We start from the raw sequence: 27232 nt of genomic DNA on the forward strand, positions 1-27232 counted from the left end.
AGAGTATTTACCTACAATAGCATTAAATTCTAAGTTGGAAGGCCAAGTATCTTTACACTAAGACTCAGTATATACATAAAGCAGTAGATGTATTTAAATATGCACCTGTACTATATGGAGTATCTAGTATTTTCTATTCTATTAAAGTTTATTACCAAGTTAATTTCACAACCTACGTGGGGCCATAACAACCTGTGGTATGAAAAGCACTGTTCCAAGAGGACAGATCAAATAGAGAATTCTAAATGTAAAGAAAGAAGCACTGCTGGCCGGGTGTGATGGCTCACACCTGTAATTGCAGCACTTTGTGAGGCCAAGGCTTGTGGATCACTTGAGCTGAGGAGTTTGAGACCAACCTTGGCAACATGGGGAAACCTACAAAACACACACACACACACACACACAAAACCTAGTTGGATATGATGGCATGTGTGTGTGGTCCCAGCTACTTTGGAGGCTGAGATGGGAGGACCACTTGAGCCTGACTGGAGGCTTCAGTGAGTTGTGATTGTGTCGCTGCACTCCAGCCTGGGTGACAGAGCAAGACCCTGTCTCAAAAAACAAACAGGCTGGGCACAGTGGCTCACGCCTGTAATCCCAGCACTTTGGGAGGCCGAGGCAGGTGGATCACCTGAGGTCAGGAGTTGGAGACCAGCCTGGCTAACATGGTGAAACCCCGTTTCTACTAAAAATACAAAAAGTTAGCCAGGTGTGGTGGTGAGTGCCCGTAATCCGAGCTACTCAGGAGGCTGAGGCAGGAGAATCGCTTGAACTGGGAGGCAGAGGTTGCAGTGAGCCGAGATTGTGCCATTGCATTCCAGCTTGGGCAACAAGAGCGAAACTCCGTCTTCAAAATAATAATAACAATATGATCAAATAAAAAACAAACGAAGCAACGACAAGAGTTCTCAGTAACAAAATTTCAGCCAGGTGTGGTGGCTCACACCTGTAATCCCAGCACCTTGGGAGGCTGAGGCAGGCAGATCATGAGGTCATTAGTTTAGTTTGCGACTAGCCTGGCCAACATGGTGAAACCTCGTCTCTACTGAAAATACAAAAATTAGCCGGCCTTGGTGGCCTGCGCCTGTAGCCCCAGCTACTTAGGAGGCTGAGGCAGGAGAACTGCTTGAACCCAGAAGGCAGAGGTTGCAGTGAGCCGAGGTCGCACCACTGTACTCCAGCCTGGGCAACAGAGCAAGAGTCTGTATCAAAAAAAAAAAAAAGAAAGAAAATTTATTGAAATAAAGACAAGGAAAAACAAGTGAGTTTTAATGAATTAGCAGCAGTTTAAGAACAAGAAAATTATGTTAATACTTTTTGAATAGGTCTCAACTTAGCAACTAACCACTACCATTTTATAAGAGCTTGATCAAGTATATTAAGTTGTACTTAAAATTATTACCAGTGGCTATATCTAATTATGTTATAAATTTATATTTTACTATGCATTATATATTAACATATAAATATATTTTATATAACCAATTAAATACACAAAAAATCTTATTTCCCCCACATTTTAGTGAATTATAAAATAATATACTAACAGGAGAGAAAACCAAGATGTGAGTAGCAATTCCTAAAAATTTAGATTCTGAGTATTCAGATATTGGTATACAGTCTAGAAAACTTGTATATGGACCTTTTTTGGGGGAGACAGGGTCTCACTCGGTGGTCCAGGCTGGAATACAGTGGCGCAATCACGGCTCACTGCTGCTTCAACCTCCCAGGCTCAAGTGATCCTCCTATCTCAATCTCCCGGGTAGCTGGGTCTGCAGGCATGTGCCACCCATGCCCGGCTAATTTTTTGTATTTTTTTTTTGTAGAGACAGGGTTTCTCCACATTGCCCAGGGCTGGTTTAGAACTCCAGGGCTCAAGCAATGCTCCCACCTCAAGCCTCCCAAAGTGCTGGGATTACAGGTGTGAGCCACCGTACCAGACCTTATCTTTTTTTTTTTGAGACAGTTTTGCTCTTGTTGCCCAGGATGGAGTGCAATGGTGCGGTCTCGGCTCACTGCAACCTCCGTTTCCTGGGTTCAAGAGATTCTCCTGCCTCAGCCTCCCGAGTAGCTGGGATTACAGGTGCCCGCCACCACACCTAGCTAATTTTATGTATTTTTAGTAGAGACAGGGTTTCACTATGTTGGCCAGGCTGGTCTCGAACTCCTGACCTCAGGTAATCCACCCACCTTGGCCTCCCAAAGTGCTGGGATTACAGGCGTGAGCCACTGCGCCTGGCCACAGACTATATCTTAATGGATTTAAGGCTGTAAAATGTGCGAGTTTATATGTGCAAACAATTATCTTTTACTTTTCTTGCCGTACCATGAAATTCATTTGTGAAGATAAATAGAAATTTTTTTCTAATCAGTGAAAATATTCTTACTGGGGCTTTGCTATCTATAATACTTATGCAAAATTCTATATAAAATAAAATCCTAATTGCATTCTTCCCAAAGAAGCACAATTACTGGAGACCAAGAAAAACTGCTTCTTATAATATGAATTCACCTACAAGATAGAAACTACAAGGATAATATTTTTAAAAAACTTACATTTTAATCATTTTTCTTGCTACCCAAAGCCTTGGCCTAAATAGTTTAATCAAGTTGAATTTAGTGATCTCAATTATGATGGTGACCCACCATTTTATTACCAACAAGTGTAGACCTGTGTTTAGTTCTACAACAAGCAAACATCAAATATTGTACTAATAAAATCAAAACACCATTCCGATTATTCATTCACAACAAAATTTCACAAATGTTTATTTCAATATGCCTAGTTATATATGTAAATTTTAATTCTACTTTGATTTTACCATAATGGGAGTTGTTTTTCCTAATATATTATGAACATTTGACAATAAAGTTATAAAAAATTAAACAATTTTCTGTATCAGCACCACAGAAATGACCAAAAAAACTTGTATACTTTCAACATAAAGGTTTCTTTTAAGAGAAATCATCAAATTGTGTTCACAACTATTCTACAATGACAACCCACTAAATGATTAGGCACAGGAGATATATATATGTATAAAAATTTAAAATGCTAATGTTATTTCTCACGCATTAAGTTTCCATCCATGGAACTACAAACAGCAAAACAATTAGGTCTGCTTCTTTAAAAATAACACTCAGATTTCATTTATCTTACTAACGATTAGTCAAGTTATAATGACGGCTAGACTATACTGCATCAAAGTACATATATTTTGAAGCTACATACATATTATTCCAGACCTTTTTTTTTTTTTTTTTTTTTTTTTGAGATAGTGTCTCGCTCTGTCACCCAGGCTGGAGTGCAATGGTGCAATCTCAGCTCACTGCAACCTTCGACTCCTGGGTTCAAGTGATTCTCCTGCCTCAGCCTCCCAAGTAGCTGGGACTACAGGCACGTGCCACCACGCCTGGCTAATTTTTTGTATTTTTAGTAGAGATGGGGTTTCACCGTGTTAGACAGGATGGGCTTGATCTCCTGACCTCGTGATCCACCCGCCCTGGCCTCCCAAAGTGCTGAGATTTATAGGCGTGAGCCACCACGCCCAGCCCCAGATGTTTCTAAAATAGTTTGCCCTTGTACTCCTGCAAATCACCATCAGGACAGGATAGGTAACCAAAAGTGTACTCATGTATTCATGTACTATTTTCAGGTCAGGCTAAAGGATTTTCTATAATGTACTTCAGCTTTTGTTATGTGTTTAGAGATGGTTCCATAAAACTTGATCCACTGTAAAAAACAGGCAGCAGCCTGATAGCTTTAAATCACAATAACAGATTATATTATTAGAAAGCATCATTCACATACTAATCTGAGCTGCTACAAATACCTTATTTGGTTTCTTTTATAAATTCTAAAAGCAACTACACAAACTCACCTATACCTGGCACATCTGGCTACTAAAATCAGATGGAAAACTAGTGACTGTCTGAGTCAGGACTGTCTATCAATTTAGTTCAGATTCCAGAGAATTTGTGATTGTAGATCAACTTCATTATTTGGCTGTTAACAGGGGAAACCTGTATCAAGTAATTACACACAATGTGATCTCACCAAATAGTAAGGATATTTACATATAAATTTTCTTTAAAAATCTATTAGTAATTTTTGAGTGAAAGGAACAATAGCGGACAATATAACATTACTGGGCCAATTCTTGAACGGCAAACATTAAGAGTAAAAAAAAAATTATTGAAAGCAGACACAATACTTATGTAAAATTTCAGAGAGAAAGACTAGGAGATAAAACCCTAATCCTCTTTACCTCAATCTTATATAACAAAATATTGTTTCTAAAATGCAGCCCAAACTCTTATCCAGTCCTATTAAATAATAGCCAAGAAGTCAATTTTTAAATAAAATTTACTTTTACTTATAAATATAAATCAATACACCCCCCCCCAAATATATCAAGATATTTTTAAAACTCTGGTGGTCAGAATATATTATTTAAAAACTCTGTAACTTAGGCTGGGCACAGTGGCTCATGCCTGTAATCTCGGCACTTTGAGAGGCTGAGGTGGGCAGATTACTTGAGGCCAAGAGTTTGAGACCAGCCTGGCCAACATGGCAAAACCCCATCTCTACTAAAAATACAAAAATTAGCTGGAGGTGTTGGCACACACCTGTAATCCCAGCTACTCAGGAGGCTGAGGCATGAGAATCTCTTGCGCCTGGGAGGCGGAGGTTGCAGTGAGCCAAGATTGCGCTGTTGCGCAACAGCCTGGCAACAGAGCCAGTCTGTCTCAAAACAAAACAAAACAAAACAAAACAACAACAAAAAAACACAACTCTGTAACTCAACAACAAAAAGACAAACAACCCAATTTAAAAATAGGCAAAGAACTTGAATGGGTATTTCTGCAAAAAAATATACAAATGGCCATAAGCACATGAAATGATACTCAACATCATTAGTCATTAGGGAAATGTAAATCAAAACCATGAGATACCATTTTACACCCGATAAGGATGACTATAATTTTTAAAAACCAGAGTATAACAACTGATGCCAAGTGTATGGTGAAACTGGAACCCTCTGATACTGCAGGTGAGAATGTAAAGTGGCACAGCTACTGGGAACAGCAGTTTGGCAGTTCCTCAAAAAGTTAAGCATAGATTACCATATGACCCAGCAATCCACTTCTAGGCATATACCCGCATGAATTTCTAACAGGGACTCAAGCAGATCCCTATATGCCAATATTCAATGCAGCATTATTTACAGTAACCAAAAGGTGGAAACAATCCAAATACCTATCAATAGATGAATGGATAAACAAAATGTGATATACACATACAATGGATTATTCAGCCATAAAAAGGAATAAAGTTCCTGATTGTGCTACAATACGGATGAACCCTGAAAACATGCTAAGTGAAATGAGCCAGATGCAAAAGGGCAAACATAACCTATTTCTACCTATACAAAATATCTAGAATAGAAAATTCAAAAAGACAAAGTAGATCAGAGGTTCCTAGGGGCTGGGAGGAGGGAGAAACACAAAGTTATAGCTTAATGGATACAAAATTTCTATTTCAAAGTAAATAGTGGTGATAGTTGTACAACACTGTGAATGTAATTGATGCCACTGAGTTGCACATTTAAAAATAGTTAAAAGGGCATTAAATATACATTTTTTAAATTACTAAACTTTATTGACACATAACTATCACCCAAAGTCAACAGTTTAGTGTTCACTCTCAGTGTTACATATTCTATGGGTTTTCACAAATGTATATAATGACAGGTATCCTCCTGTGGTTTGAAAACATTAAAGAAAAAAAATTCCAGAAATAAATAATTCATAAGTTTTAAATTGCATGTCGTCCTGTCCCATCCCACCCAGGACATGAATCTTCCATTTGTCTTACATATCCACACTGTATACACCGTGTATATGCCAAAGAGAAGCCGTAAAGTGCTTCCTTTAAGTGAAAAGGTAAAATTTCTGGACTTAATAAGGAATAAAAAATTGTATGCTGAGGTTGCTAAATTAATCTATGATAAGAATGAATCTTCGGCCGGGCGCAGTGGCTCAAGCCTGTAATACCAGCACTTTGGGAGGCCGAGGCGGGCGGATCACGAGGTCAGGAGATCGAGACCATCCTGGCTAATCCGGTGAAACCCCATCTCTACTAAAAATACAAAAAATTAGCCGGGCGTGGTGGCAGGCGCCTGTAGTCCCAGCCACTCGGGAGGCTGAGGCAGGAGAATGGCATGAACCCGGGAGGCGGAGCTTGCAGTGAGCTGAGATCACGCCACTGCACTCCGACCTGGGCGACAGAGCAAGACTCTGTCTCAAAAAAAAAAAAAAAAAAAAAAAAAAGAATGAATCTTCTATTCATGAAATTGTGAAGGAGGAAAATGAAATTCGTGCATAGGGTATATAGTTTGGTACTATCTGTGGTTTCAGGAATCCACTGAAGGTCTTGGAACATATCCCCCATGGATATGGGAGCACTACTGTATTGTACACAATAGTCTCAATGCCCCAGAAATCCTCTGTGCTCTGAGTATTCATCCCTCCTTCTCTAAAACCCCTGGCAACCACTTATCCTTTTACTGTCTCCATAGCTGTGCCTTTTCCAGAATGTCATAGTTGGAATCATAAGTATGTAGACTTTTCAGATTGTATAATGTATATAGGCATATACCCATGTGAGTTTAAATATATAGTACATTTATTTCAGTTAGTACATATGCATTTAAATTTCTTTTAGTACATGTGCATTTAAACTTTCTCCGTGTTTTTTCATGGTTTAATATCTAATTTCTTTTTAGTGCTGAATAATAGTCCATTGTCTTTATGTACCACAGTTTATCCACTCACCTACTGAAGGACATCTTAGTTGCTTCAATGTTTTGGAGGTTACAGATAATGCTACTATAAACATCCATGTGCAGGTTTTTGTGTGAATGTAAAGTTTCCAATTCATTTGAGTAAATACCAAAGCATGCAATTGCTACATCATATAAAAGTATGTTTGGTACTATAAGAAACTGCCAAACTGTCCTCTTAAGTGGCTATGCCATTTTTCACTTCCACCAGCAATAAATGGAGTTCCTGTTGCTCCACATGCTCACTAGCATTTGGTGTTGTCAGTGTTCTGGATTTTGGTCATTCTAATAAGTACATAGTCATATCTCATTGTTGTTTTAATTTACAATTCCCTAATGACATATGATGTTGAACATCTTTTCATATGCTTACTTGCCATCTATATGGCTTCTTTGGTGAGGTATCTGTTCAGATCTTTTGCCATTTTTTAATTGGGTTCCTCGTTTTTTTTTTTTTTTTTTTTTTTGAGACAGGGTCTGGCTTTGTCACCCAGGCCGGAGTGCAGTGGCTCAATCAGCTCACTGCAACTTCCACCTCCTAGGTTCAAGCCATCCTCCCACCTCAGCCTCCCGAGTAGCTGGGACTACAGGCACACACCACAATACCCGGCTGATTTTTTTGTGTGGTTTTTTGTAGAGATGGGGGTTTCACTATGTTGCCCAGGCTGGTCTCAAACTCCTGAGCTCAAGCAATCCACCCCCCTTGGCCTCCCGAAGTGTTGGGATTACAGGCGTGAGCCATGGTGCCCAGCCCTCATTGTCTTAATATTGAGATTTAAGAGTTATTTGTATATTTTGGATAACAATCCTTCATCAGATTATCTTTTGCAAAACACTCTGTGGCTTGACTTCTCATTCTCTTGACAAGGTCTTTTGCAGAGTAAAAGTGTTTATAATTTTAATCAAGTCCAGTTTATCAGTTACTTCTTTCATGGGTTATGCCTTTTGTGTTATATCTAAAAAATTATCACCATATCCAAGGTCATCTAGCTTTTCTTCTATCTTTTCTAGGGGTTTTACACTTAGGTCTACAAACCATTTTGAGTTAATTTTTGTAAAAAGTATAAAGTCTATGTCTAGATTTTTTTTTTTTACATGTAGATATCCAGGTTTTTCTAGCACTACTGATTGAAAAGACTATCTTTTCTCTACTGTTTTGCCTTTGCTGCTTTGTCAAAGGTCAGTTGATTACATTTATGTGGGTCTATTTCAGAAGTCTTTATTCTGATTCATTGATCGATCTGTCTATACTTTCACCAATACCACACTTTATGGATTAGTGTAGTTTCAGAGTAAGTCTTGAAGCTGGGTAGTGTCAGTTCTCTGACTTTGTTCTTCAATATTGTGTTGGCTATTCTGGGTCTCCCGTCTCTCCATATAAACTTTATAATCAGTTTGCTGATATCCACAAAATAACTTGCGGGGATTTTGATTGGGAATGCATTGAACCTACAAATTAAGTAGGGATAAACCTATAGATCAAGATGGGAAGAACTGACATCTTGACAACACTGCATATATCTTGTAGACATAATGAGCCATGTGATGCTGGGCAAATTTCCTAATTCCGAACTTCCATTTCTACTAAGTGATATAAGGATATGTCCATCTACCATTACAGAATGATTCTAAGAAACAAAACAATTTATGTGAGTGTTGTTATAAGCCTAACATGAAAAAATGTTAATGAATAAATGAATAAAAATAAATGAATAAATACTTGTTCCCTTCCCTTTTCTTTAAACAACCTACTAAAACATGAGAAAATCCAGATTATGTTTTGATGGCAGGGAAAATTACCTGGAAGTCAATTTATTACTCAAATTAGAGAACTTTTAAAAATTAGGGAATTAATTTAGAAATAATAAGGTCCAAAGACAGCTATGTTTCACCCTTCCTGTGGTATCTGATGATGTCTAGATATAGCAGTAGCAATCCACAAACAAGTACGTATTTTATGATATTGATGTATAGTGAAGGCTCAGATTCTTTAATCATAGACAAATTAGTTAAAAATAATTGTGAGCCAGGCAGGGTGGCTCACGCCTGTAATCCCAGCACTTTGGGAAGCCAAGGCGGGCAGATCACCTGAGGTTGGGAGTTCGCGACCAGCCTGACCAACATGGAGAAACCCCATTTCTATTAAAAATACAAAATTAGCCGGGTGTGGTGGTGCATGCCTGTAATCCCAGCTACTCCGGAGGCTGAGGCAGGAGAATCGCTTGAACCTGGAAGGCAGAGGTTGCAGTAAGCCAAGATCGCACCATTGCACTCCAGCCTGCCCAACAAGAGCAAAACCCCATCTCAAAATAAAAATAAAAATACCTGTGAATAGGCAGGGTGTGGTGGCTCACACCTGTAATCCCAGCACTTTGGGAGACCAAGGCGGGTGTATCACCTGAGGTCAGGAGTTTGAGACCAGCCTGTCCAACATGGCAAAACCCTGTCTCTACTAAAAATACAAACATTAGCTGGGTGTGGTGGCATGCACCTGTAATCCCAGCTACTTGGGAGGCTGAGGTGGAAGAATCACTTAAACCAGGGAGGTGGAGTTTGCAGTGAGCTGAGATTCACCACTGCATTCCAGCCTGGGTGACACAGTGAGACTCTGTCTCAAAAAAACAAAACAAAACAAAAAAATCCTGTGAATAAATAATTGACTAGACCAGGCATGGGGGCTCATGCCTGTAATCCCAACACTTTAGGAGGTTGAGGTGGGTGAATTACTCGAGCTTAGGAATACCAAACCAGCCTGAGCAACATGATGAAACTCCATCTGTACAAAAAATACAGAAAATTAGCTGGGCATGGGTGGTGTGCACCTGTAGTCCCAGTTACTAGGAAAGCTGGCTTGAGCCCAGGAGGTCGAGGCTGCAGTGAACTGAGATCACGCCATTGCACACTCCAGCCTGGGTGACAGGGTGAGACCCTGTCTCAAAAACAGAAACAAAAAACAAAAAATAATTCATCAGCTTATTCACTTTTCTCATATCAAGGGTCTATTCCAAGTATCCGTATACAAGGGATATGGCACAGTCTATTTAGTCAGGAAATTATGACTGATTGCTCCTATGGGCAAATTCAATCATACTTTGTAGTAAACTTCCTATAAATGTCACAAGTAGGATGCACCAATGGAAGTCTTCTTCAAAATGCTACCTTATAACAGGCAAAATATTTCCTAATTGAAATTTTGAATTAATGTGCTTTGTATTCAAAGTAACAAATTAGCCACAAAATATGCAGGTAGCTCATGTTCAAATCTAAAAAAGAAAGGGACATTCATGAGCTAAATAACAGCATGCTGACCCCCAGAATCTACACAGTCCTCATCTCAGATCACCTCACAGCACCTAAAAGAATTAGAAAAGTATATGAAAAGTTACTACATGGGGCTGGGCATGGTGGCTCACGCCTGTAATCCCAGCACTTTGGGAGGCTGATATGGGTAGATCAACTGAGGTCAGGAGTTCAAGACCTGCCTGGCCATCATGGTGAAACCCACTCTCTACTAAAAAATATAAAACCTAGCTGGGAGTGGTGGCACGCGCCTGTAGTCTCAGCTACTCAGGACGCTAAGGCGGGAGATCACTTGAATCCAGGAAGTAGAGGTTGCAGTGGGCCGAGACTGCGCCACTGCACTCCAGCCTGGGCGACAGAGTGAGACTCTGTCTCAAAAAAAAAAAAAGTTAGTACATGGGTCGGGTGCAGTGGTTCACACCTGTAATCCCAGCACTTTGGGAGGCCAAGGTGGGTGGATCACTTGAGGTCAGGAGTTCGAGACCAGCCTGGCCAACCTGGAGAAACCTCTTCTTTACTAAAAATACAAAAATTAGCTGGGCGTGGTGGCACATGCCTTTAATCCCAGCTACTAGAGGGGCTGAGGCAGGAGAATCACTTGAACCCGAGAGATGGGGGGTTCCAGTGAGCCAAGATCGTGCCATTGTACTCCAGCCTGGGCAACAAGAGCGAAACTCCATCTCAAAAAAAAAATTTTTCAGATAAATAAATGCTTACCATATTTAAACATGAATTTTAAAAATACCTTTCATATACAAAATCTGTGTTCAATCCTTTAAGACTGGGCTTAGTTTTTTTATCTTGAATTAAAATTTTCAAGAGGCATTCCAATAAATTAGAGACTTTGTATTTATTATTATTAATGAATAATTGCATGTTTACTTATATTTGTACCTATGTATACACTCATCTGATTTATAACTAACTCCATTTAAAGGTTACAATCTTTGACATTGTCCAAACAAAACATATGAACTACTGTCAGACATGCTAAAGGACACACATTTACTACTATAAATCCCACAAATTTTGCATCCCAAACCCTATATTTAATGGAAGACATGGACAAGTAATACAGTAATTTATTTTTCTGGTTAATAGTAGCAAGTTGGCCGGGCACAGTGGCTCCTGCCTGTAATCCCAGCACTTCAAGAGACTGAGGTGGGAAGCCAGGAGTTTGACACCAGCCTGGGCTATATAGCAAGACTGTGTCTCTACTTAAAAAAAAAAAAAAAAAAATTAAAAATTAGCCAGGCATGGTAGCACGCACCTGTAGTCCTAGCTACTTGGGACGATGAAGCAGGAGGACTGCCTAAGCCCAGAAGTTTGAAGCTGCAGTGAGCTATGATCTCACCACTGCACTCTAGCCTAGACAACAGAACAGGACTCCATCTCTTTAAAAAAAAAAAAAAAAAAAAAAGCAGCAACTCAAAAAAAAAAAAAAAAAAAGAAGAGATGTATCAAAAGACTTATACAGGACCATGTCATGCTTCATTCACTCACCTAAAAATTATTCTGTCAGGCAATGTGCTAGTTAGATGACCTTGTACAAAGCCAATTAACCTTCCTAAGTCTCAGGTTTTTCCTTGTTAAATTAGAATTACAACACTCTTCCAGAACTGACCAAAATGCATATAAAGCACTTAGCACAGTGCCTGATCACAGTCAATTCTCAAATGCTAGTTATAGCTATAATAGTTAATGTCAGGCCAAATGAGAACTTGAACTAAAAGTTTCTGAAAGACAGAACTTATCAACACTGGTATTTCAGGAGCAAAGTAATTAAGAGAAGTAGGTAAGAGTGATCTCAGGTTTCTTTTTTAAACATTATGGTACTGTTCACTAAAAATAGGAAACCAAGAAAGACACAAGACAGGCGGGAGAAAGCATTTTGAAGTCTGAGATGCCCAAAAGGGACCAGAATGGAGAAATAACGATTTAGAATAGTCATTGAGGAGAACAGAAGAGGTTGCTGAGCTAAAACATGTAAAAGAACTTTTAATTGGTTGCAGACTCAGCTGAGATTTTAAATTCCTAGCTACATGTTTGTGTGATTTTTCTCCAACAGCACCCAGCTGACACAGACCATCAATTGTCTGAATTTTAGGTGGTTACAGCATTTCTTTATTATGTGCCCCAAAGAGAATGACTGTTAAAGTACAGAATGGATTTTTTCAAGTAAACAAAAGTAGGGGCCAGATGTGGTGGCTCACGCCTGTAATCCCAACATTTTGGGAGGCCAAGGTAGGTCAATCACCTGAGGTCAGGAGTTCGAGACCAGCGTGACCAACATGGTGAAACCCTGTCACTACTAAAAATACAAAATTAGCCGGGCGTGGTGGTGCATGCCTGTAATCCCAGCTACTTGGGAGGCTGAGGCAGGAGAATCGCTTGAACCCAGGAGACTTCAGTGAGCCGAGATTGCACCATTGCACTCCAGCCTGGGCAACAAGATGGAAACTCTGTCTCAAAAAAAAAAAAAAAAAAAAAAAAAAAAAGAGGGTGGGGGAGATGTATAAATGACTGAATGAGGCTCTTCAACAGCTGAGTAGCGTGAACTAGGAAAATTTCAATTTTGAAAATTCTAACATCATTGTTGAACTAGATTGTTTAGATGGGTACTATACCATAGTATGACTAGAAGGAAAAAAGGAAAGGATGAAAGAAAAGTTATTTCAGCTGGGTGCGGTGGCTCATGCCTGTAATCCCAGCACTTTGAGGGGCCGAGGCAGGCAGATCACCTGAGGTCAGGAGTTTGAGACCAGCCTGGCCAATATGGTGAAACCCTGTCTCTACCAAAGATACAAAAATTAGCTGGGCATGGAGGCAGGTGCCTGTAATGCCAGCTACTCAGGAGGCTGAGGCAGGAGAATCACTTGAACCTGGGAGGTGGAAGTTGCAGTGAGCTGAGATCGAGCCACTGTACTCCAGCCTGGGCAAAAGAGTGAAACTCTATCTCAAAAAAAAAGTTATTTCAATGGAATATCATTAGGCAATCTGCCAAATAATTTAAAAATTAATAAAAATCACTTACCCATTTTGAAAAGAACAGCTTTGTGTTTCTGAATCATCACTATCACTGATGATAATAGTTTCTCCATCCACACTGTTAACATGTCCATTAGCAAAACCATTTTGATGTGATGGAGGGAGGACTTCCAAAATCCTACACTGCAACCTGAAATAAAATGATACATTTAAAAATGCAAATCATTTCATATTTTACAGCCAAACATGTCAGAGCAATCGAATTGTTTTGAACTAGTTATTTTGTTTTGCAGAGGCTATAGCTGATTGATTTAAACAATTTAATTAAAAAGAAAATCTGTAACATCTAAGCAAATATTAGATATAATTTAAAGCTGTAAAACTATTTTAAAACTCAATTTATCAAGATTATACAAAATTATATTATTTCCTTCCTTCTGCTAGCTCTGGATTGTTTGTTCTTCTAGTTCCTTAGGTTGTAAAGTTAGGTTGCTGATGTGAGATCTTTCTTGTGTTTTAATGTAAGGATTTATAGCTACAAACTCCCCTCTTAGCACTGCTTTTGCTGTATCCCATAAATTTTGGTATATTTTTGTTTTCATTCATCTCTAAGTTATTTTCTAATTTTCCTTAGGATTTCTTCTTTGCTCCACTGGTTAAGAGTGTGTTTTAAATTTTCACAAATTTGTGAATTTTCTAGTTTTCCTTTGTTAATGATTGCTAAGTTCATGTTGTTGTAGTCAGAGAATATACTTTGTATGAGATTGTGATGCTTAATTTTAGGTGTGAACTTGACTGCATTAAGGCAAAAGCAGATAGTCGCTAAAGTATTATTGCTAAGTGTGTCTTATTAGGGTGTTTCCACAGAAGAGTGCTGTGTGAGTCAGTGGACTGAGTCAGGGAAGATTCTCCCTCAATGGGAGCAGGCACCATCCAATTAACTGGGGGCCCAGACAGGACAAAAAGGCAGAGAAAAGACAAATTCATTCGATTTCTGGAGCTGGGACACCTCTCTTCTCCTGCCTTTGGACATCAACAACTCCAGGTCCACCAGCCTTTGGATTTTGGGACTTGCACCAGTGTCCCCTCCTCCATACTCTCTCCCCATCCCTTCTCCTATCTCTCTCTCTCTCTCGATAAATATCTCCTATTGGTTCTGTCTCTCTGGAAAACTCTGTCTAATACAGATATCTACCTTCTAAAATCCAATGAGACTAAATTTGTGACCTAGCATAAGGTTTATCCTGGAGAATATCCCATGTGCACTTGAGAAGAATGTGTATTGTTGTTGGGTTGAGTGTTCTGTTTATGTCTGTTACGTCTAGTTGATTTATTGTGTTGTTCAGATCCTCTATTTCTTAACTTCTGCCGGGTTGTTCCATCCATTATGGAAGATGGAGTACTGAAGTCTCCAGCTATTATTGTGAAAATGTCTGTTTCTCTCAGCAGTTATATTCCTAACTAAAGTTAACTGTCTAGAAAGTCATTGCCGGGCGCGGTGGCTCACGCCTGTAATCCCAGCACTTTGGGAGGCCGAGGCGGGTGGATCACGAGGTCAGAAGATCGAGACCATCCTGGCTAACCTGGTGAAACCCCATCTCTACTAAAAATACAAAAAATTAGCCAGGCGTGGTGGCGGGTGCCTGTAGTCCCAGCTACTCGGGAGGCTGGGGCAGGAGAATGGCGTGAACCCAGGAGGCGGAGTTTGCAGTGAGCCGAGATTGCACCACTGCACTCCAGCCTTGGCAACAAAGCAAGACTCTGTCTCAAAAAAAAAAAAAAAAGAAAGTCATATATTGGCACAATATCTTATTTTACAGATTTGGGGCCTTATAATTTTTGAAAGCATCCAATATTTTAAATTCTAAAATTCTTCAGACAAAAGTTATTCTCACAACTTTTGTTGTGATTTCTGATCTCTGGAAAGCTTCCTATTTACTAACTCTATCACCCCTATTCTGGCTTCCTTTACTCTGCATACTGTATCTGGATTTTATGGGCCATGATTTTAGACTCATTCAACCACAATTAAAATATTCCTTAATCGGCCGGGTGTGGTGGCTCACACCTGTAACCCCAGCACTTTGGGACACCGAGGCGGGCGGATCACCTGAGGTCCGGAGTTTGAGACCAGCCTGACATGGAGAAACCCTGTCTCTAGTAAAAAAAATACAGAATTAACTGGGCGTGGTGGCACATGCCTGTAATCCCAGCTACTCCGGAGGCTGAGGAAGGAGAATGGCTTGAACCCAGGAGGCGGAGGTTGCTGTGAGCCAAGATTGTGCCATTGCACTCCAGCCTGGGCAACAAGAGCGAAACTCCGTCTCAAAAAAAAAAAAAAAAAAAAAATACTCCTTAATCCCATCTCTATTGTGCTAATTTTCAATGCTAGAAAAGACAGCACCTGTTTTCTCTCCACACTCCCTCTTGTTCCAAATTCTTTACTTCCTGCCTTGAAACCATGAGTCTACTATGAATTCAAGGTTAGGATCTTACTGTTGAGATAACTTTTGTTGGTTCTCAAAACAGATTTCCAAAACTTTCTCGTTTCCTCAAGTCCCAGTCTCAGTGCTTTAACATTAGAAAATGAAAGAAGAGATCTTCACTTAGGCTCTTTGACTTCCTTCTCAACATCAAATGTCCATATCCTTCATAATTGTTCATATTCTGATGTCAGAAGGGTTCTCTTCCAGCCTGTAACCTCTTCTTTTATCCCGTTGCATTGTATTTCTCCTCCTGTGTATCTTCAGTTTTCCTCTGCTAAAAGACATGCTCTTCAATATCCTGGAAAGTTTTTATCTATCTCTAGCTTTCTAGAGACTCCAGGGTATGGTCTCTTCTTCTCATTCCCTAGAGGGACCTGGCATTGCGGAAGCCAAAGTAGATTCCAAGAACAAAAACAATCCAATTTTTATAAATATCCCCTTATATGGAAGCATAGTGATTGCCAAAGCAAGGGAAAGGCCAAGCAAAGATAATCTGCATCTGTACCTGCTCTGTAGACATTTTGCTTCTTGTAAAGACCATTTGCACGCCTGCAATCCCAGCACTTTGAGAGGGTGAGAAAGGCGGATCAATTGCTTGAGGCCAGGAGTTCAAGACCAGCTTGGCCAACATGGCGAAACCCTGTCTCTACTAAAAATACAAAAATTAGCTGGGTGTAGTGGCATGCACCTCTAATCCCAGCTACTTGGGAGGCTGAGGCACAAGAATTGCTTGAACCCGGGAGGTGGAAGTTGCAGTGAGCCATGATTGTGCCACTGCACTCCAGCCTGGGCAACAGAGTGAGACTCTGTCTCTGAAAAAAAAAAAAAAAAAAAAAAAAGCCAGGCATGGTGGTGCTGCTGCACACCTGTAATTCCAGCTATTCAGATCCTACAACTGCATGCACCCCAGCTTGGGTGACTGAGTGAGACTATCTAAAAAAATAAACAAAAATAAATAAAAATAAAAAAAAAGACCATTTCATTGGCCAAAAAATAAATTAATAGCAACTTCCTATCAATTTATAATCTGCTCTTCAATGTATCCTCTTCTCTCAGGACTTATTCATCCATCAGTGAAGTCTCCTCTCCTTCCATTTACTGTCAGGTGGTTCAAAAGTGTGACTTATATTGTCTCTCCACTTCCCTACCATTCCTACAATTTTGGTCATCATATACAAAACTTGTCCCAAGAAAGTCACAATAATCTAACTATTGGTCAACAAATCCAAAGTATTGTATTAGTTGTCTTAATCTTCTGTAAACCATTATCCACCCCCTTACTAAAAAATTCCACCTCTATTTTTATGGTTCAAAATCTTACCTATTCATCATCTAACCTACCTCCCTGACCACACTTCTTCTCTGTCTTTGCCTGCTTCTTGATCTCCTCATACTACCAAAATATATAGTGATTCCCCCAAAGTGCTACTGCATATCTCTTGGTTGATATATACTTTCCCTTGGTGTCTCATCTCAGCTCTAGATAACTGATTGTCTGACTCTCAACTTCTAGAAATGTGGTCAAAAAAATCCATTTCTTCTCTAGAGGGAGTTTATGTAACCAAGGAGGTTTAATCTCTATTGAGACAGTCACAATAATAGTATTGGTGAGGATGTAGAACCACCTTGAAAAACAGTGTGACAACTCCTCAAAGATTTACCATATGACCCTGTAATTCCGCTTTTAGCTATATACCTGAGAGACATAAAACATATGTCCACACAAACTTGTACATAAATGTTCAAAACAGTACTACTCATAAGAGCCAAAAATTATAAACAATCCAAATATCCATCAACTGATCATTAAAATGTGGTATATACCATGCAATAAAATATTATCCAGCAAAAAAAAAAATAGGAATGAAGTACTGATACATGCTACAATATTTATGAATCTTGAAAATATTATGCTAATGAAAGGGGCCAGACACAAAAGACCACCTATCATAGGATTCCATTTATATGAAATATCCAGAAATCTGGATATTTATATTTCATATAAAATCTAGGCAAATCTCTAGAGAGAAGATAGACAAAGTAGGTACCAGAAACTTGGCGGCGGGGGATGGCGGGGGCAGTGTAAGGGGACAGGAGGGCCATGGGCAGTGACTGCTAATGGGCAAAGCTTTTCTTTCTGAGATTTTGAAAATGTTATAAAATTAAAACTGTACATTTTAAATGGGTGAATTTTATGGTATGTGAAATATATCTCAATAAAGTCATTAAAAAAAGAGTTGCAAGATACAGTAGGGAGTAAATATAAAGGAGAGAGAGCATTGCTGGAATTATATTTATGGTATATCTCTACAACTCCTTTTTTTTTTTTTTTTTTTGAGTCTCACTCTGTCCCCCAGGCAGTGTGCAATCTCAGCTCACTGCAACTTCTGCCTCCCGGGTTCAACTGATTCTCCCACCTCAGCATCCCAAGAAGCTGGGACTACAGGCACAATCCACCACGCCCAGCTAATATTTTGTATTTTTAGTAGAGATGGGGTTTCTCCATGTTGGCCAGGCTGCAGCCTCTACAACTCTTATGCAATCCTGGGGAAGGTTTTATTAACTACAAATATTCTAAGCACATAAATACCTACCATTGGGCTAAATCTCTATTCTCTGAGAAAAAGTGGTTCAAGATTAGATACTTTGCTGACTATATCATTCATTTGGTTATACCATACCATCAACAAATTTTGATATACTGTTTGATATCCTGTCTCATTTACCAGCTCTATTCTCCTAGGAACTTTATTCTTCCCATGTTCTACCCTCTTCCAAATGGCTATTAATAGAGCTGCCATGTTCTCCCAAAATAATGGCCAGATTTAGCTGATACAGGGTAGGCACTACTTTGCTGAGCTCATATATCTTTTCTAAGATTTTTAAACTTGGAATCTAGAAGGTAAAAATCAGTCCTTGTCTCCCACCATGAAATCTGTAAGATAAAATTCTGGTGCTGTCGGCAGCCATATATCCTGCTACATGGAGGAGACAGTGTGCAGTGAAAGGTGGTAAAATCTGTAAGACAGAAGAGATGGCAAGGATACTAGAGGCAATTAGTTCTTTTATTCCTGTTCTTCCTCAGATTTAGCTGCACCTTGCCCATTCCAGGCTTAGCTGTTTAATCTTTCCTTCCATTTAACAAACAAATAATCCTACACCCAAACAAAAGAAAACATAACTGGTTCCAAAGCACCCTAAGGCCTAAGAATCAACAAAATGTATACTATATGGGTCAACCCAAAGTCCTCAAAGCATCTTACCTTCTACCTTCTACTCATTTCCCCTCACTAAGATTTACATAAGTTCAATTAAATTTAAGCATCCTAGTCTTGGTCCTTTTCAAGCTGCTCTTTTTAAAAAATTGAAGGAAAAAAAAGACTCAAATTACTAAAATCAGAAGTGAAAGTGAGAATATTATCGCTGATTTTACAAAAATAAAAAAGGTTATAAGAGAATACTGGCTGGGTGCGACAGATCACACCTAATCCCAGCACTTTGGCAGGCTGAGGAAGGGAGATGGCTTGAGCCCAGAAGTTCAAGACCAGCTTGGGCAACATGGAGAAACCCTGCCTCTACAAAAATACAAAAATCAGCCAGGCATAGTGGTGTGCACTTGCAGTCCCAGCTACTCAGGAGGCTAAGGTTGGAGGATCATTGAGTCCAGGAGGCAGAGGCTGTCTCAGAAAATGTAAGTATGTATGTATGTGTATGTGTGTATATATACATATATACATATACACACACACACACACACACACACATATATATATATATATGTATGTATGTATATTTCCTAACAAAGAAAAGCCCAAGAACAGATGGCTTCACTGGGGAATTCTATTCAACACTTACAGAAGCATTAACATACATTATCTCAAAATCTTCCAAGAAACTAAAGAAGAGGGAATGCTTCCTAATTCATTCTATAAGGCCAGAATTACCCTGATACCCAGGCAGACAAAGAGATGGCAGAATATATGAAGAACTCTCACAACTCAAAAAAAAAAAAACCCCAAACCACTCAATTCAAAGACGGGCAAAAGACTTGAATAGACATTTCTCCAAGAAGATACAAACAGCAATAAGCACATGAAAGATGCTCAGCATCATTTGTCATAAGGAAAATACAAAATCAAAACCACAATGAGATACGACTTCACACTCACTAAGATGGTTATATATTTTTTCTTTTTTTTAAACACAGAAATTCACAAGTGTTAATAAGAATGTAGAGGAAATGGAACACTAGTGCATTGCTGGTGGGAATGTAAAATGGTACAACTGCTACAGAGAACAGTTTGGCAATTCCTCAAAAAATTAAACATACAATTATCATATAGCCCAGTAATTCCACTTCCAGGTATATACCCAAAAGAATTGAAAACAAGAACTCAGATACTCATACACCAATGCTCATAGCAGTATTATTCACAATAGCTAAAAGGTGGAATCAACCTAAGTGTCCATCAACAGATGAATGGATAAGCAAACTGTGGTATATACATATAATGGAACATTCAGACATAAAAAGGAATAAAATTCTGATACATGCTACAATGTGGATGAACCTTGAAAACATGTTCATAGGCTGGGCAACAGAGTGAGACCCCCAACTCTACAAAACAAAAATTTAAAAATTAGCCAGGTGTGGTGGTGCACATCAGTGGTCCCAGCTGCTAGGGAGGCTGTGGTGGGAAGATCGCTTGAGCCTGGGAAGTTGAGGCTGCAGCGCACCACTACACTTCAGACACTGTCTCAAAGAAAAACAAACAAACAAAAAACCCCAAGCTTGGCTGGGTGTGGTGGCTCACGCCTGTAACCCCAGCACTTTGGGAGACCGAGGCGGGTGGATCACGAGGTCAGGAGTTTGAGACCAGCCTGACCAAACATGGTGAAATCCCGTCTCTACTAAAGATACAAAAATTAGCCGGGCGTGGTGGCGCGCGCCTATAATCCCAGCTACTCAGGAGGCTGAGACAGGAGAATCATTTGAACCCAGGAGGCGGAGGTTGCAGTGAGCAGAGATCACACCACTGCACTCCAGCTTGTGCGACAGAGCGAGACTCCATCTCACAAAACAAAACAAAAACCCCAAGCAAACAAAAAAGAAAACATTATGTTCAGTGAATTGAGCCACAAAAGGACAAATATATGATTCCACTTATATGAAGTATCCGGAATAGGCAAATTCACAGAGAAAGAACATAGAATAAAGGTTACCAGAAGCTGGGGGAAGGATAGAATGGGGAGTTATTGCTTAATAGCTACAGAGTTTCTGTTTGGGATGATGAAAAAGTTCTGGAAATAGTGGTGATATTTACACAATACTGTGTACAACATTAAGTACACTGTGAATGTACTTAATGCCACTGAACTGCACACTTAAAATGACAAAAATAGTAAAAATTTTATGTTTATTTTACTAAAATAAAAAAAACAACTTTTTTTATTCTAAGAGAAAAGCTTGAGAAGAGGCTCAATTACCAATCCTACATTGGTAGCAAACGGAAATGATGTCTAAAGAACTGCAGGCTGACTTTCACCACTGACTGGTAGAAATAAACCAGTGTTTCTCAAGAGGAACAACTACAGGAAATCATATCAAAACCTGTTAGGTAATTATGTAGCCTATTGATAAAAAGGCTCTGTACTTTAGTAACATGAGCTGTAAAAAATATGAAAGAAATCAAATGGATCTGCCTTTGAAAGGCTTAGATATCAGATCTATCAGGGCTCATAATATTACTAAGGCTTCTGGGAAGTAATGAAGGAAGCTTTTCAGGGACCCTATGACAAGGTTGCTCAAGTTAGAAACAGAGATGATCTTTGCTGGCAGAGCCCAGGTGAATGCCCCTTAAGTGGTAACAGTGGTGGTGGTCATGAGGCAAATACAGGGTAAATGAGTCTACTCTGAACCCAATTACAGTTGATGTGAGGCCTAAAGTGGTCTGACAGTCATCAGTGGGAACAACTGACCACAGTAGGTCCCACAGGGCTACAATAATTTGAGGACTAATATATTTAAAACCAACAGAAAGAAATACAATTCCCTGACAGAGGAATTAGGGAGAAGGAAACCAGTGCAACACAGGGACATTGCCCAGAAGTAAATTATATAAATTGTAGTAATTATTGTCAATGCTACTATTGACTTTGTAGCACAACCAAACCACCGGTAGCATTCCTTGTCAATCTAATCAAGGCTAGCCCTTCCCATAGGTACTTAGCTAAACTTATGTTACTCAAGATGCCAAGTCAACACCTTCTAATAGATTTCTAGAGACTTAGTCTATGTCTTTCACAGCTACTTGCTACCATTTCTTGATTCTAGGGAGTTCAAAGAAGTTTACAGGGGTGTATGTAAAAAAACAGAGAATCATGAATTAAGACCCAGCTAGAGGATCTTCAAGAGCATAGAAACTATTTGAATTAAAGTTATGCTCCATTATTTGAGAACACAGTGGAAGTTAATGATTAAGAGTCCTTACCATTAGCATTCATGTGTGCCAGATTAAATATGTAATTTACATATATGTCTCTCCTTATATATCAATCAACTCCATAAGTTATACATTTTCTAGAAGATGAAATTCCGGCTCAGATTTTTTTTTTTCCTTTTTTCCTGAGATGGAGTCTCGCTCTGTTGCCCAGGCTGAAATGCAGTGGCATGATCTCAGCTCACTGCAACCCCTGCCTCCTGGGTTCAAGGAATTATCCTGCCTCAGCCTCCCCAGTAGCTGGGATTACAGGCACGCGCCACCATGCCCAGCTAATTTTTGTATTTTTAGTAGAGATAGGGTTTCACTATGTTGGCCAGGCTGGCCTCAAACTCCTGACCTCAAGTGATCCACTCGCCTTGCTTCCCAAAGTGCTAGGATTACAGACATGAGCCACTGCACCCTGCCCAGGGATTTAAGTAATTTGCTCTCAGTCACACAACCAGTAATGGTACAGCCAAAACTTTAACTGTGTGACTCTTAAGCCCATATACTTTCTAATTTTCCACTCTATTATTAGAGTTGAAGGGAATGGAAACATTATGTTGACCCAAGGGCATTTCACAACTTTAAGCCCAGGCAATGCGAGGCTCCTTAAAGTACTAACAACTTAAACACATTTCAGAGTGAAAGCAAGACTGTGGAACAGGAGCAAGTACAGTATAAGGGCACAACATTAATTAGTCATAAATCTGTAATAAGCTGAACATGGAAATAGTTTTTTTTTTTTTTTTCCTGAGACAGAGTTTCTCTCTTGTTGCCAGGCTGGAGTGCAATGGCGTGATCTCGGCTCACTGCAACCTCTGCCTCCCGGGTTCAAGCAATTCTCCTGCCTCAGCCTCCCGAGTAGCTGGGATTACAAGCATGCGCCACCACGCCCAGCTAATTTTGTATTTTCAGTAGAGACAGGGTTTCTCCATGTTGGTCAGGCTAGTCTTGAACTCCCGACCTCAGGTGATCTGCCCGCCTCAGCCTCCCAAAGTGTTGGATTACAGGCGTGAGCCACTGCGCCCAGCTGGAAATAGCTTTTTATGAGGATAGTCTGGAATGTATATACCTTCCGCTAAAAAGCTATTTTTAGTAGCCATTTAAATTTATATCTCAAAAATTCAATGGACCAAAAGCAAATTATAAAACTTTCTATAGGCCGGGCGCGGTGGCTCACGCCTGTAATCCCAGCACTTTGGGAGGCCGAGGCGGGCGGATCACGAGGTCAGGAGATCGAGACCATCCTGGCTAACACGGTGAAACCCCGTCTCTACTAAAAATACAAAAAATTAGCCGGGCGTGGTAGCGGGCGCCTGTAGTCCCAGCTACTCGGGAGGCTGAGGCAGGAGAATGGCGTGAACCCGGGAGGCGGAGCTTGCAGTGAGCCGAGATCGCGCCACTGCACTCCAGCCTGGGCGACAGAGCGAGACTCCGTCTCAAAAAAAAAAAAAAAAAAAAAAAAAAAAAAAAAAAAAAAAACTTTCTATAACTGAGACACATGCAGAATTTCTACAGGGTATTTGGGGTAGAAGGTAAATAGTTAACAGCAAAGGGAAAGAAGATCTAGAAGCCTGGGAAGACCTACTTGAAATAAGAGACCGACCCTCTGTTTGGGTCTCTAAAAATTGAATATGCTGAATCTATAGCATACTTCACAACTGCTCCCCATTCTGCCTCATTAACCTTTATTTTCTAGTAATACAATTGCAAGAATATTTATAAAAAATACTATGCTTGGACAATTAAGTCAATATTTTCTAACAGTGAACTAATTTGAAGTTTAGAGTTAAAAAACAAAAACCTTAAATTAAGTTTATGTGATATCTCATTTTAAGTGGAAGAAACCAGAGCATTTGAGCGAGTCAGCTATTCACACAAAAAGAGTGTGAATTATGTCAATTACTTGTCAATGAGAAAAAAGGAAAAGATTGCTTTGTTTATAATTCCTTTTTTAGAGAAATACGTCAATGTAGCTCAAAGAATGTTTCCTTTTAAAAAAATGTATTATTTTTAGTAGACACATGGTCTTGCTATGCTGCCCAGGCTGGCCTCAAACTCCTGGGTTCAAGCAATCCTTCCACCTCGGCCTCCCAAAGTGCTGGGATTACAGGCATGAGCAACCATGCCTGGCCTAAAAGAATGTTTCATTTTTAACTGTTCTGAGACCCTTTATGGACTACAGAACCTTATTATTTCTCCAACTGGCATTTGACCTATTATAAGTCTAAATATCACAAGATGATAATCACTAGATTCTTACTGAAGACTAAATCCATTATTAAAAGATATATATAATACTAATAAGTCTCTTTTTTTCTTTTTTGAGGCAGGGTCTCTGTTGCCCAGGCTGGCGTGCAGTGGTGTGATCTTAGTTCACTGCCATTTCCGCCTCCCAGTCTCAAGCAATCCTCTAACCTCAGCCTCCTAAGTAGCTGGGACTACAGGCGAATACCACCACCCCAGCTAATTTTTTTTTTTTGTAGAGATGCGTTTTTGCCATGTTGCTTGGGCTTGTTTTGAACTCCTGGCCTCAAACAATCCTCCTGCCTCAGTCTCTCCAAGTGCTGGGATTATAGGCATGAGCCACTGAGCCCAGCCACAAAAATCTTTAGAAAGAAAATTCTAGACACAAAATCCATGGCTTAAAACCTACATATTTCTAATTAGTTTCCAAATATCTGGATATTATTAATATGCTGCTTAACCTCTTTAGTATTCAAAAGTATCTTATTAAAGCCTTATTAATTAGTGTGGCTGCAGAATCAACCAAATTAATTAAAACTACCAAAAACTTTAAAATTCTAAGTAGTATATTCAAATAAATAGGTATTCAATTGTTTGTGGGCTCAGCTTTGTGCCGTCCAGCCTATTGACACAAACATGTAAGATAGTCTTGCCTCCTTACAGCAAGGTTAACATTTTAAGATCAGAGACAACAACACATTAAATATGAAAAGCCACCACAGATTTGACAAGTGATCTTTTGTTTCAACATAGTAACAGTATTTTCAAACTAACCGGCCTCAATGTGAAAAATGCATAGGAAAAGGCTTCTTGTCTTTCCTCTATTTTGAGCCATCCTGAACAATGAAAACGATTGTTACAACAACAGGATGATGAAGCAGAAAACAAATAAAAGCCTGAGTTCCTGACAACTTTGTGGACCTATCATACCAGCCCTACACTACACACTTCTGGACTCATTTTACACAAGACAAAAACTTCCATTCTGTTTATGCCATTAAACACTTCCGTTATATGCATCCAAGGCAAATCCTGCTGTTAAGGAAAGGCAATCTATTAGGTGTGCTAGATATTTATTAAACACTGATCACTTTATAAACATTTGTGTAAAATTCACTTCATGAATCACAGAACCTGAATAAGGTTTTTAAATTTGAAAGTTACTGGCAATATAGATTTCAAGTCGTATCTGTTTCAGAAAATTGAAAATCTGAAGAGAAAGAGCAATATGAGAGAGCCCTGTAGAAATGTTCTGTATTATAACTATATCAATGTCAGTATTCTGGTTGTGATACTGTACCATAATTTTGCAAGATAATATCATGAGGGAAACTATTTTTTTCTTTTTTTTTTTGGAGACAGAGTCTCCCTCTGTTACCCAGGCTGGAGTTCAGTGGCGCAATCTCGGCTCACTGCAACCTCCTCCGCCTCCCAGGTTTAAGCGATTCTCCTGCCTCAGCCTCCCAAGTTGCTGGAATTACAGGCGTCCACCTCCACGCCCGGCTAATTTTTGTATTTTTAGTAGAGACAGGGTTTCACCATGTTAACCAGGCTGGTCTTGAACTCCTGACCTCAGGTGACCCACCCACCTCGGCCTCCCAAAGTGCTGGGATTACAGGCATGAGCCACCATTTCTGGCCAGGAAACAATTATTTTACAACTACATGTGAACCTACAGTAGTCGCAAAAAAGGTTTAATTTTAAAATACTGATGATAAACATTAACAAAATATTAACTCCAATTAAAAGTATTCATTCCATGAGACAAATAAATACACGATGAAAGTAATAAATACTACACAAAGCTACAGTAATGATGACACTGTAGTATTGGTGAAAGGATTGCCAAACAGATCAATGGAAGAGAATAAAGTCCAGAAATAGGCTATAATTCAATTTATATTTTATTCTGGAAAAGGCAAACTTCAGGACAGAAAACAGATCAGTGGTTTGTCAAAGGCTAGAAGGTGAAGCAAGGGTTAACTACAAAGCGGCAGAAATGAATTTTGTGGAGGTTCATAGAAACGCTGTGTGTCCTGATTGTGGTGAGTTACATAACTGTGTCAAATTTCAGAACTTGGCCGGGCGCAGTGGCACACGCCTGTAATCCCAGCACTTTGGGAGGCTGAGGCAGGTGGATTGCTTGAGCTCAGGAGTTCAAGACCTGCAACATGGTGAAACTCTATGTCTACAAAAAATACAGAATTTAGCCGGCATGGTAGTGTGTGCCTGTAGTCCCAGTTACTTAGGAGGCTGAGGCGAGAGGATGGCTTTAGCCCAGAAGGTGGAGGCTGAAGTGAGCTGAGATCACATCACTACACTCCAGCCTGGGCGACTAAGCCAGAACTATCTTTCAAAAAAAAAAAAAAAAAAAGTAGGCCAGGCGTGGTGGCTCACACCTGTAATCCCAGCACTTTGGGAGGCCAAGGTGGGCGGATTATGAGGTCAGGAGATCTAGACCATCCTGGCTAACATGGAGAAACCCCGTCTCTACTAAAAATACAAAAAATTAGCTGGGCGTGGTGGCGGGTGCCTGTAGTCCCAGCTACTCGGGAGGCTGAGGCAGAATGGCGTGAACCTGGGAGGCGGAGCTTGCAGTGAGCCCAGATCGTGCCACTGCACTCCAGCCTGGGCGACAAAGCGAGCCTCTGTTTCAAAAAAAAAAAAAAAAAAGGAAAAATGAGCATTTCCTAGTTTTAAAATTAATTTTTTAAAAAAGAAAAGAACAATTAAAAATTTTTTTAAGTCAGAACTCTACCAAAAAGGGTGAATTTTAGCTTAGGCAAATTCTATAAAACTGATTTTTAAAATAAGAGTGAAAGTAACACATTTAGCAAAGTTTTATTAGTTTAAACTACTTAGAATAAAAGCTTATCTGAAT

The 27232-nt window shown here is 39.6% G+C and overlaps 1 protein-coding gene across 7 annotated transcripts in view, besides 1 other annotated feature; it reads right to left on the reverse strand.

Moving 5' to 3' along the window:
* Positions 1-27232, reverse strand: part of BAZ1A (bromodomain adjacent to zinc finger domain 1A) — a 122630-nt gene that overhangs the window by 60103 nt on the left and 35295 nt on the right. For all 7 annotated transcript variants that reach the window (XR_007063978.1, NM_182648.2, NM_013448.3 and 4 more), the window contains one exon: positions 13180-13323. Coding sequence is in view for 6 of the 7 variants with exons in the window: in NM_182648.2 (NP_872589.1) it covers positions 13180-13323 (144 nt within the window). In the remaining variant the exon portion in view is untranslated. The remainder of the gene's footprint in view (positions 1-13179; positions 13324-27232) is intronic.
* Positions 24840-25341: an enhancer, noted in NCBI's record as "NANOG hESC enhancer chr14:35306879-35307380 (GRCh37/hg19 assembly coordinates)". NCBI's record gives its function as "activates a minimal SCP1, AML or CMV promoter by ChIP-STARR-seq in naive H9 embryonic stem cells {active_cell/tissue: H9 hESC(naive)}" and the evidence as "EXISTENCE:reporter gene assay evidence [ECO:0000049][PMID:30033119]".

The sequence above is a fragment of the Homo sapiens genome, chromosome 14 (genome assembly GCF_000001405.40).
Source record: "Homo sapiens chromosome 14, GRCh38.p14 Primary Assembly".
In the NCBI taxonomy this organism is placed as follows: Eukaryota; Metazoa; Chordata; class Mammalia; order Primates; family Hominidae; genus Homo; species Homo sapiens.